Source organism: Homo sapiens, chromosome 13 (assembly GCF_000001405.40).
Source record: "Homo sapiens chromosome 13, GRCh38.p14 Primary Assembly".
NCBI lineage: Eukaryota > Metazoa > Chordata > Mammalia > Primates > Hominidae > Homo > Homo sapiens.
Window position 1 is genome coordinate 75759667 of NC_000013.11, and position 12859 is coordinate 75772525.

General features: G+C 35.6%; 1 protein-coding gene across 55 annotated transcripts in view; it reads left to right on the forward strand.

Annotated features, from left to right (window-relative positions):
• Window positions 1-12859, forward strand: part of LMO7 (LIM domain 7) — a 239437-nt gene that overhangs the window by 139233 nt on the left and 87345 nt on the right. For 29 of the 55 annotated variants that reach the window (NM_005358.5, XM_047430323.1, XM_047430329.1 and 26 more), the window contains one exon: window positions 1266-1372. In NM_005358.5, coding sequence (NP_005349.3) covers window positions 1266-1372 — 107 coding nt within the window. Of the gene's footprint in view, window positions 1-653; window positions 1373-12859 lie in introns of those variants that run through there. The other 26 variants (XM_047430314.1, XM_047430318.1, XM_047430325.1 and 23 more) reach the window with 6 other exon arrangements.

Here is a 12859-nt window from a genome sequence, read left to right on the forward strand (position 1 = left end):
TGTACAAATAGTGACTTTTTAGAATGTCTCTTTCCTTAGTAATCAGTGGCGCTTTTCTCTTGCCACACCTTTCCTTGTGCTTTCCCGGAATCCCCTTACTCTCCAAGAACCCAAGCTGTAGAATTTAGCCACTTTATCTTAGGAAAAGAGTAATTGCCTTTCTCCAAGTGGCAGACTATCTTCTGGTCTGTGAAAGTCGCCTCTTAGGGAGGGAGGTGAGGTTTCAAGGAGGCTCACGCCATAGAGGCAGCATTACCAGCTGCCTCAGTGGACAGATGTGTGTTGGCATGCTGGGAGGCCACCCCTTTACCAGCGAACTGTAACAGTTAATATGGAGAACCCGCCTGGGATTGTCACAAGTTCAACCCCATAAAGTGTTTTCTTTTCTTCTTCTTTTTTTTTTTTAGAGTAGTAGAGATGAAGCCTAAGTTAATTCTGGTAACCAAATGTATGTCTCTGAAATGTGGCTGGCTTTAAAATAGCATATACTGTAATCTGTGTTTGCACAGCAGTTTACATTAACGAAGAGCACTGGTTTGTGAATGGAGGATTTGGGTTTTGAAATTAGATATGAGGGCAACCTTGGAGGGAGGGGATAGGCTTTCATATTTTTGGAGGCAGCTCTTGAGGCAGGTGCAGGGAGTGAGTAATGTGCCACACAAACTATGCAATTTAGCCAATGAACACTAGGTTTCTCCTCAGTCCTATAGTATGGTTTCCCTGCCTGTCAAGAGCCAGCTCAACAACCAAACCCAGATTCCAGGTGTGGTATTCCACAGTCGTTCTGTAATTTGTAATCATAGAAACAGAATGTTCCTCCTCTTATTTCTTCCCTGCCAACAGTTTCTGGGTGGGTGAATGTCAGTAGCTGGAGTTATTTTTAAAGAGGAGAGGTGAGGCTTGCCGTGCAAAGCTGGAAAGAGGGCGTTTGTTTGCAGAGCAGAGCTGACATCAAAGTGTAGATTACTGCTCAGTGGCTAGGCACTTGTCCTGTAACAGGTAATGTTTAACGTGCCAGTCACAAAGATCACAGAAACAGTGTATGCCCGGGCATAAGATAGCACGACTGTGTATGCTCTGGAGGACTGAAAGGCTGTACAAGCCCTATGTATTTTTTTTCAAATATACATATGCATGGGTCTTGCTGCTGCCTCTTTTGCTGACTGTAATTGGACTTTGAAGCTTCGAAGTTATATCATAAAAATTTGTAACCTTTGTCTGAGAGAGAGCTCAGCTAAGCAATCACTTTCCACTTCTTTTCACAGGATAATATAAACGTTTTCTTGAAAGCTTGTGAACAGATTGGATTGAAAGAAGCCCAGCTTTTCCATCCTGGAGATCTACAGGATTTATCAAATCGAGTCACTGTCAAGTAAGTTTCAACAGTTTGTTAGATATATATATATATATTTAAACTTAGGGCTTGTAGCTTAAGTGAAAAGAATTGCTGAGAGTTCATGATTACAGAAAAATTCTTCTGTTCTCTCTGTTTTCCTCTGTTCTCATTCTAAAAGAGACTGTTTTAAAAATGGCTTAGGGACTGTGAAGGTGAAGCTGTTTGTAACTCATAACATAGCATAGTCTTACTATAAATCTCTATACCGACAAAAATGGTAGTGTTAATATTTTAATGTGTGTCCAACATGGTAGTGTTTGGTTGCTAATGTTGAGGATACTCATAAAGTGAATTTAGGGGTTATATTATAGCTTGCAGAGTAACAACAATCTTTAAATTTTTTTATATATTTGGAATTAAGACATAATTATTAGCATAAAAATTAGATAGGACAGTAGTAAAAAAGAATCTCTTAATATTGTGAAGGCAGCAGCGCCTGGGACCAACATGTAATGCCAAGGACCTTGTCAGTTGTGGCTGACTTTTAAAAATGAGCTGTTTTTCACGATTTTAATAGTGTGGATGAGAAAGTGAAAGTGGGGGTGAGAACACGTATGCCAGTATCTGTTAGATTTTTGGTGAAAAATGGTGTTTGTGTGGGAGTATACAGTTTCAGGAAATCTGGTTTTAAGCTCTTATGATATTTATTTATATTTCCTATAAATCTAATTTGCTTCCAGGCAATCAATAATCATGTTACTAGATAAAGGTGACAGGAAAATTATTTAATTTTATAATAACTATCTCTTTGTCATCCTGCCTCTTAAACCTAATTAACATTTTTGCAAGGGAGAAAATAAACACCTTATTCTATCTATAGAAATAATGAAAATGGAAAAATCTGTTTCTACCAGTTCAAAGATTTAACTTATGTGGTTAATATCCCTGTGTAAAACCTTTAATAGTTATTTTTAAAATTGGATGACCAATTATTTTTTCTGAAGAAAAATAACCAGCTATGTAAGTATCTTTGATAGTACACATTGTCTTCCAGCAGTACACAGAACAGCCCCAAATCCAGGTAGACTTAGTCTTCCAAAGTCTAACAATATATGTTTTTAAATGAACACTGTTTTGAACCTGCTTCTAGTTCTGTTGAATAAGCTTTTCTAAACTCCATGGTAATTAAATGTACGTGGGAGGGATAAATCTGCCTGCATTTCTGACTAATCGAAAGATAGTTTAGAGATTCTAAATTTCATCACCAAAGTGAAATGTTTGCTTCTGTAGTATGTAGGGGTCATGTTTACTTTCCATAAAAATTAAATATTTGGGTGTATTTGTTTTATTTTTCCTTATCAACATATTTCTTCATAAGGCCTATCTGATGGGCAAAGAAACTTTAGACTTTGAAAGTCTTTTCCTTAAGTTGTTGATGCTTGTTAAGCGTTAACGTGCTTCCCCCTAAAATAATATACTCTGTTTTGAAAGTCTGTAGCCTATATTTGAGTAGGCTAAAGACTAGGTGAAACATGTTTGTTGGCTCCCAAGTCCAAGAGTTCTTGCCTGGAGCCTGTTTCATGAGATGTTGGGCCTAAAATGTTTCAGACAAATTAGTATCTGGGCTCTGCCTTCAGTGAAATTACTGACAAACTGAAACTGCGAGGTCACGTAGTTATAGCTGTAGTGAGAAGCATGCAGAACAACTTGTTTCAGTGGAAACCACAAGTTCGTCAAAGCAAGGTGTGCCTAAGTAGTACCTGTGAGAATGCCTGAGTGGGAACCTTGACTTCACTTAAGAACATTTCTCCTGATAATTCTATCTCATTGGACCAAAAAGCAAAGGGGTTGACCCTGGGTATGCTGCAGTGGAAGCACTGGAGCCTCCCAGATGAGACACAGGAAAGTGGCAAGCAACTTTTTAAAAAATGTTGTCCAAGTTCTTATGCCCTGAGATAGCACTTTTAGTAAAGGAAGCAGATTTAAAGAAAAGCAAATAATTGCTCACTAAATAGTAATGCATTTTAGCTTTTTAAAAATATATAATGTGGAGACTCCTTTGGGTCAAAATTCTTGTCCTGTCATTATTGTAGATCAAAGGACTTAGTGTTGGTTAGATCAGTGGTTCTCAACTGGGGGCAGTTTTGCCAACCAGGGGATGTTTGGCCACTTCCGGAGATACTTCCAGTTGTCATAGCTGGGTGAGTGTGCTACAGGCATCTAATGGGTCAGGGATGCTGCTGAATACACTTTAATGCACGGGATAGCCTCCACAACAAAGAATTTTCCTACTCCAAATATTAATAGTACTGGAGTTGAGAAACTCTAGCTTTAGATTTAGAATTTCTTGTTTATTCCCTCCCTGCCAGCAAAATAGTCATGTGGAAATGAAGGATACTGACTATGACACCTTTGACACTCTACTAAAATATAACTTTTATATACAGACATAATTTATGCATTTCTGTGTTAGTATGTTTATTGTCTGTTTAAATGGGAAGGTGCATTGTAACTTGTCTGAGAGTGTGGTAATATGTGTGAGTACTTTGAAATTATTTTGCATATCTGTATGCATTAAATTTAACAAGGTGTAGCAAATGATTTGATTATTTAAAATGCTGTATTATAACTGCCCAGACTGAATCTACCGGTGCATAGACTTGTTGTTGGCCTTGCTGCAAACTCAATCTAATCATGACGCATACTGAGAGCAAATAGGAAAGGACAGTCGATATCCTCTGTGCTGGCAAATGAGGGGAACTTTTTTGTTAGTGGGCAGTGGTGATAGTTGCTGTATGGAGCCCAAGCAGAGTTGTGTATGTTGAAAATGAGTGGCAATAGCAGAAGCAAGTAAAGAGCTGTTGTTAATGAATAGTTTCAATAATCCAGGACTCCAACTGTTTTTCAGTTTTCTAGCTATCTGAAGTTTACAATTTAATTCACAGTAATAACTTTTCACCAATCAGACAGAGCTAGAGTATTCTTTATATTTCTGTAAATTATCCTCTTATGTGTTCTAATTTTCTAATAATTATTTTACTTTGTAGGAAGCAGTAGTTTTAATTTTTTCAAGTGTGTTTGAATTATTCTATTTATTTAGGGACTACATGTATTCAAGCATCAGGTGACACCTTTAATTTTGATATTCCTGACTTAATGGGTAGGATCCAACCTCTTTTCTTCTCAAAATGCTAATAAGCAAATTTATGATTTAGTCTCCATGAATGGTAGATTGAGATCTACCCCGATCTGAGGCCATGAAATCAATCTTTTGTGTGGATGAAAAACTGGATCATCATTCTTAACCATTTACTAAACATCCATACTGAGCACATACTCTCCACAAAGAAAACGTGGTGAAGTTCCCACAGAGCCATCTGTGCAGGCCTTCCATAAAAGGGCTGTAGGAGATCAAGCATAATGGCCCCACCAGCCTGCCACAGCACACTGGAGAGCTCCTCTGGCAAGCGTCATGGTCTTTGTGGTGGCATCTGGTCATTAGGAGAGGTACAGATCAATGGCTTGTAGTAGAAAGCAACTTGACAGAGTAGCCTAGAGGTCCTGTATTGGAGAACTTGAAGTTGGCAGAAAGGTAGGGTTTAACCATTAAAGGTTTTAACTTGGGCAATTTGACTCAGAAACTAAGTCTTGTATTTAAACCATTGCTCTATATATCAAAAATTTTAAGCTGAGAAATTGAACAGATTGTAAACATGTTTCTTCTTTCCACCCCCTTACCATTCCAATCCAGTTTTTGGCAAGTCTTCAGATACATTCTGTTGATAATATCATTACAGAGTGGCAATGACTTTGAACACTGCTTGTCATGCAAAGAAATTCTTTTCTAGTGTAGACTTACTCTATTATCTAGAGTATTGATATTTTAAGTATAAAGTATAACTTTAAGTAAACATTGATATTAACGGAGTTTGTTTTTTTAAGTCGATTAAAATGAAAGTACAGATATTAAAAATCTATTCTCTTTACACATGCTAGTTGCCAAAGGAACAGTAGTTGGAATGAAAATTAGTGTTAACATATTCCCATCAGGAAAATAAAAGAGTCTCAAAATGATATTTTAAGGATGTAACTGTTCGCTAAAGCTTCACAAGAGTGCTTGATTTTGTGGTAGTGCTCTGAAGTCATTTCTTAGGAATCAGGTTCCCAGATGGCACTCTGTTTTAACAGTCTGCCAAATTGGGCTTGAGGTATGTAAGTGTATATGTGTATTTAAGGTTTATTCATATAAGTAAAATATACCTAGTTTGAATTATTTAATTTCTGCTTTTTAAAATAATTTAAACCTAGTTTTACTTTTTTTTTTTTTGCAAGTACATGTCTTTCAAATGAGTTTCTCAACATCTTCATCTTTTTTTTTTTTTTTTAAGCAAGCTTAACGATATCCAAACTTGGATCTGCAACTTGAGCATGGTGACTTCCACCTGTCAACTCATGTGACTATTTTAAAATGTACCCTTTCTGCCAACTATTAGAAGAGCATAAAATGAAAAGGAAGTTTATTGCATTGTATATGTCTCTATCCCATTCAACCATTCTCTGTTGTGAAGTGCTTACTGGAAGGGATGGAACATTAATTCTGGGTGGCTGAGGCTCTGTTTAAGACCATTGGCAAAAATGTATGGTCAAATTTGGAAATGCTCTTTAATGACAAAGTTTGAATATCTAAGAGTCCTAGCTGCAGGGAACGGTTGTGGGATATGAGGCAGGTCTGATGCTGGGACAAGCCATTGAATAATTCAAGTTTTGTCTATATCTGTTTTTCTCCATTTCTAGTTCTTAATCTATTTCTCAGATAGCCACGTTTCTGAATGCCAGTGCTTCTTCCTTTGCTCTCTACTCCCTCAAATCCAAAAAAGCCCTGGGGTCTGATTCTGTCTTGGCCTGCTGGATAAGCCTTCATGCTGTGGACTTCCCTGGCCAGGGTCTGTATCTTTAAAACGATCCTATCTTATGTTCATTACTGCAAAGGGCCTCACTTGGTGGCCAATCTAAATAGCAGTTGACATGAGTCCCTTCATGGGAGAATGAAAGTTGTTTTGTCTCCTCTGATCAGTTAGCATTTGTTTTACAACAAGGACATTTGAAGGGTTAAACCAAAGAGATATTTTTGTTGAAGAGATTCTTCTTTCAAATGATTGTCTGTAGGGCCGCCTATGTTGACTTAATCCAACTTTTAAAATTGCTAATACTGAAATACCTGTAGTTCCCTCAGTCTTTTTTTTTTTTTTTTTTTTATGTGAGCTTTACCAGTAACCAGAAGTATTAAGCATTGTTTTTCTGACTTTCATGTCCTATTCTGGCCTGATTTAAGTGATTATTTGTGTGAGGGTATAGGCATTGGGGGTATGTATGCTTAAATCTATTTCTGGAGCTACAGAGTAGAAAATGGCACTTCATCCAGTAAGAGGAAATTTTGGTTTTAGGGAAGTCATGACTTGTTTGTTATATAATGAGCATTGATTCAGCATCTTCTATGTGGCATATACTTACACAGACATAGATAAGATGGAGACCTGCCCTCAGTGGGGTTCACATTATGACTGGGGAGATGGCCCTGTAAATTTAATACATTATGTAAAGATAAATGCACAGATTTCTCTGGAAATATAGAGATGTGCAGTCATTTCATCTTTTTAATCAGGAAACTCATCTAATTGGAGATGACATAGGTTTCTCATCTGGGCTTTCAAAGGACTTTTTATTTCCTCTACGTCTAGCTTTTCTAGAGACTTGAAACTATTTGAGGACAGGAAGTATGTATTATTCCCTTTATCTCCTTGGTTCCTGTTACCATACATCTTTGCGTGTTTATTTGAAAACTGGATTTCAATTACAAAGACTTCCTGGATATCTTAAAACCAGGCTTTGAAGATGGGGAAAAACCTGTCTTAATCTTTGCCAACTCATCCTCTTTTTATTCTCATTATAAAAATGCAAAGCAAATCTGGCAAAGCAGGCACTGAACTTTTGGTTTCAGTTGCCTTTTACTTATACCAGAATAATGATAATGACATGGCATATTACAAGATAATCTAAAACTTATGCAGTTTAAGAGGAGCGTGTGTTTCATTTCTGTATGTAATAAACTAAAATGGGAGCTTTGGACTATGTGCCTTTCAAGGTAGTTCAAAGTTTTAATAAATCCTTGTGCGGATGTGCCAATAATAAATGTTAAGAATGCTTAACTGACATTTAAATAATTTTTTTATATAAAGTGTTAGAAACATTTCAGTGTCTTCATATCATAATCACTGATCACTTTTTATCTTGTGAAACAAATCTAAAGTGTATACTTGAGACTTTCCGGTAGAAAAACATGGTGGTTATATAGGTAGTTGTAATATCTTGGTAGAAGCTCAAGGGCAAAGAATAGAACATTTTAAAAGCAGGAACCCATTGGAAAGTAATTTTTTATGAGAAGTCATCAATATTACTTTAAGAAATTTTACGAACAAGTTTACAGTAAGCCTCACTCCTTCTAAAGTCAAGTTACCTGCCTTAGTACACTTTTTACCTTTGTCTAGTATTAAACATCAAAGCCTGCCCTCCTCAAAAAAAAAGTCACATTAACTTTGACTTTGGCATAACTAGAAAAACACTGGAAGGATCTGAACACAGAGAAACTTGAAGATTTCTTCACAGTTTATTTGAGATGTTTCTACTAAATCCCAGGCTGAGTTTGTCACTTTCCAGGAAGGAACAAGCACATTGAGCAGATGTGTATCCGTGGTTGTGAACAGAATCATCTTTGAAGAGAGCAGAGATTTTGGTATTCCCTGACTTGGGTTTAATCTTATCATATCAGTTAATAGCTGAATGACCTTAGACAGATTACTTTTCCTCCCTGTAATGGATTTGCTTCTCCATGAGTTTAATTTTATGGCAAATAATTATTTATTGCTTGCTCTGTGTCAAACTGTGTGCTAAACCCTGGTAATAGTAAATTAGACAGTTGTAATTGCTCTTTGCTTGGAACTTGGCAAATCATATCATTTGGGTGATACCCCTACCTCACAAAGATGTTGTAATGATTAAATGAAGTCAGGTATATAAAGTATATAGTGCCTGTATATAGTAAGTGCTCCATAAATGGTATTGAATTATCATTCTGATCATTTTCATAATTTGGCTTCCCTTGTTTTGACTTTAAGAAGATACATGTCTCCTGTAGGAAAACACAGAGGAAAAAATCTGGCCTCTGGCTGCTTAAATTTTGCTTACAAACTACAAGCTCTTTATTTTTGAGAATTTAGGCCATTTAAAACTTATCCCTTTTCTCCATTGGGAGCAGATATTAAAACAAATGTGTTTTTCTGACATTTATGGTTAATCAAATTGTTGATAAAATCAACAATTTATCCATTTTATTAGAATAGCAAAGCTGGAGAACAGAGAACAGACAGCTAAGTTATTTGCTCTTGCCTCTGTGTATGTGGGGCCAACACAATTGAATTAACTTTTTCAAGACCAAACTTCTTTCTGTATTTTCTAAAATCTTTGAAATTTTTAAATCTGATTTGAATGTTTCCTTAGAAAGTTTTATTTCCCTCACTTTTTAAAATCTAAACTAGTCAGTGACACCAAATCTAACCCAAAGCTTCACATTGTTTGTGAGTTTATTTTTATTGTCGTTCCATTTTTTTCCCTTCATTTCTGTGAAAAGTGTCATTTTGGTCATAAAGAGGTTATCCTTTAGATAAGAAGCTATTATCTGAAAGGTTTTTGTAGAGCTTAGGAATATTTTTCTTTTTGGAATAGGTGTTCAAAATCTTGTCTTTACTGAATTCAAATGTACATCGCAGTCACATTTTCCTCTTAGAGAAAACTTAGCTGCTCCTTTTGGACTTCTCTCATTTGCTTTATTCATTAAATGCTATTACACTAACAACATGAAAAATCTTGATTATGTTATTTGAAATATTTGTTTTTTTACCTTAGGCATTAAAAAATTATAAATAGCAATAGGTACTGTTTGAGATGAAAGCCATGCTTATTATTTAGTTCCAGTGTCACTTGTGTACAATGAAATGTCAAGAAACTGGGAAGTATAATATTATGTCAAAATGCATTAAGATAAAACTTTATTTTTTTTCTTTAAAAAAGTAGAACCTGACTATCAAATGTTAAATAGAGTAGGCATGAATGTTGTTTATTGGCTGTTTAGTGTTCCTTTTTTAGAGTTTAGGTTAATGGAGCAGTTATGTTTTAGGGGTAATTGCCCTGGTATGGTTTCTGTCATGCTGAGCAGCAGTCCTGGGTGGCATTGGTTGTTGGTGGATTTATCCTTTGTTTTTCAGAGACATGCCTTTCAGAGTGCCCCTACTAACCTGGGAGGCAGGATTCTGTGTCACTTTATATTTTGAAGACTTTGGTACTAGTGCTTCAGACACCATTGACCAAATATGCACAGTAAACCTAAGAAAACATGTTCCCAAAGAATTACTGTAAAACTTTTAATTAAAAAAAAACGTGGTATACTTGTACACTCAGTAACTCATACTAACATTATTCTTAAATGTAAATGATTGATATTTTTATAGTGTAATAAAATCTCATTAGATTAAAAACACATGTTGAATCTCCACACTGTAGATAAGCCAATTTTTCCTAAGCTGTTAAAGGAAAAAGTGGGGTTCTTGTGGGCTTGGGAGAAGCACCTGCTTTGAATTAAGCTGTGTTTGTATTAACCACTGTCAATTTAACAAGGGTTTGCTCTGTGTGCTTTGAGCAATTTGAGGGAGAAGTCCCTAGATGCTTATCAAGTATTACTGTCATTACTATAGTTCACTGTTTCATTACATTATAGTAATACTGATGGCTGTCAATTGTTTTGAAATGCTTTTTTCTGTATTCTATTTAATTTACTGAGATATGGAGAAAATCGTCGAAGGAATTAGTGTATCTGGGTCAACAATTTGGCTGACCAATCACTAGACTTCTTTTGGCTTCATACTGAGAAATAAAAATCTCTAACCCATAGTTATTGTTTATCTCATGCTCAATTTTGTGTATAATAGGGGTATATTCACTTATAAAATGCCCAAGAGTAGAGCACACGCACACATTATTAAATAAGAACATAGATTTCCAAGGCCTCACAGAATGACATGCCAGATCCTGAAGGTACCTGAATCCTTGTTTGTTTTGGTGATGAATTTTTTTTTTTTCCCCACCGAAGGGGCCTGGTCCATGTCCTGGAGGAGAAATAGGAGTAGTATCATTAGATATAGGTGTTTATGCCAAGTTATTAAGAAATAGAGCTTTTTGTCCAGGGTAGAGAGAAGCAGCCCAATGTTGATGGGGATGTGGGTGGGTGGTGTGGGGAGTTTGGCTAGAGCCTCACATACTCTAGCCTTGCTATTGAGTCCTCTCAGTTGTGGACCTTTTGTCTTGTGCCTTGTCAATAGCATCCACTGAATATTTCATATTCACTATGGACAGATCCCAAATCTTGTGTGTACATAAGAGAAATAAAACCTACTCCTTTCCTACCTTGATCTTAAAGCCAAAAGTAGAGAAGCAGAAAAACATGCTTAAGTCTTAATTTTTGCTTTTGGGTCTTAAGGAACAGAAGTGATTGAGTGTGCAACTCTAAGGGAATGCTGGATTTGGAGTGATGAATAGCAACGAGGTTAGGAAATCTCTGTATTATAGCCTCCAGAGTATCTCAGAAATATTCCTGTCACTATGATGCAATTAAGTTTAGACAAACTGGAAGATAAGAGCTTTCGAACACTGTCAAGTGATTTACATAAATTATTTCTAAACTAATAACAGCCCAGCCAGGTATTTCTCTTTTGCTTCACATGCCTGAATTGCAATGAGGCAGAGAAGAGTAAGTTGCTTAGTTAGATGACCTTGGGCAGTAATGAAGCTAGGTTTTTCATTCCTGGGGTATCTTTGCCTGCATGCTTGTGCTTCTCCCAGTATGTTGTCTAAACAAACTTATACAGACTTTAAAAATTTGCTGACGTTCTTTCTAGGGCTATGTGACAGAAATTATCATGAGTTGCTTTTTAACCAGGCCAGCTATACCCAGAATGGATTTGTGTACATGATTGAGAATGCCTTATTTGATATGTGGCAAATATCTTCACATTATGATCTAAAATTTTTTTTCTGAGTTTGTGAACTAAGTTACTTTGAGTGGATGTATTACAATGTGCCATCAAGTCTCAGATCATTTATTTGATTTTTTTAAGATCTCCTAATTTTAGGAATGTTAAATAAGAACATATGTACCTTAGAATAGAAGAGATGTAGTACAAATGTGGTCCTCTAACTGGCTAGTTGAGAAATAATGGAGTATTTGGATTTTGATAAGTGTATGTAGATGCCTTTATAGGTTTTATGACTTTCATGCAGATATTTATGAATGTTCCACTGTATTTGCTGTGATAATGGAACATTCTTGTTAAGTGCTGAGGATTGTAAAACCTTACTAATCTAAATTGCTCGGGATCATACTATCACACTTTGACCTTTATAGCACTGGCCTGAAACCTTTAAAAATAGAATTAGTCTTTAAAAACAGAATTTTTAAAGACTTTAAAAACAGAATTAGTAAGTATATTTTATTTATAATAATCTCTTGTTTACCAATTTTTGATGCTCTATTTTACTTAATCTTGTTAAAAACAAACTAAACTGTGTCTCTCTCCTCCAAACGTCCTTGGCTGGGAATAAGTGGTCTTTAAAAAAGAAAACATAACATGGGATATTATTTTGTTGTAATTTAGATGATTACATATTAAATTTTATACAAATAATTAAAGATTAATAATGTGAAGTTCTATTCCAGAGACCAAATTGTAAGCAGAAACATAAATTACAGTAAAAGTATCTATTCTATTGGATTAAAGAAGAAAAATTACTTCAGTAGCAATCCTGCTATCAGTGTAGCTATTGGAGGGTTAAAAACAGGTGATAAGCATAGCACATCAAGGGTAACAATAAATAGTGCAGTCTAATTCCAGTAAGATGAAACTCTTCTCTGGTTGCAGAAAAGAGAGTGGGTGATCAAATAGTGACTCAGAAAAGCAAATCCCAAGAAATGACTCAAGCACAGAAACACTTTAAGAATTTCTTTACCAAGATTTATAATAAATGAACTTATCATTTCTTACCAAGCCTTTAGAAATAATTATTTCTAACTTTCCAAATGATTGCCATTTATTAGGAGGAAGAAATATTCATTAATCTTTCATTTCATGAATAAGATGCTTTAGATTGCCAAAGACACGTGAAACTAATAGTAGCCCAAGATATGAATATACCAAAAGAAGACAAGCAGGGATAATTCTCCTTTAAATAACTAGTAGATGGGTTAGATGTGATAAACACTTGAGTTTTAAAGCTATTAAATGTATAAGTGAAGGAAAAATACTGCCTTTGAGTGAGTGGAGAATAGAAAGAAATTGTTTGAACGTTTTGCTTTCATGCCTTTTCTAATCTTACAACCACTTTATAAGATAGGGTGGTTGACTGAGTTTACAGGTATGG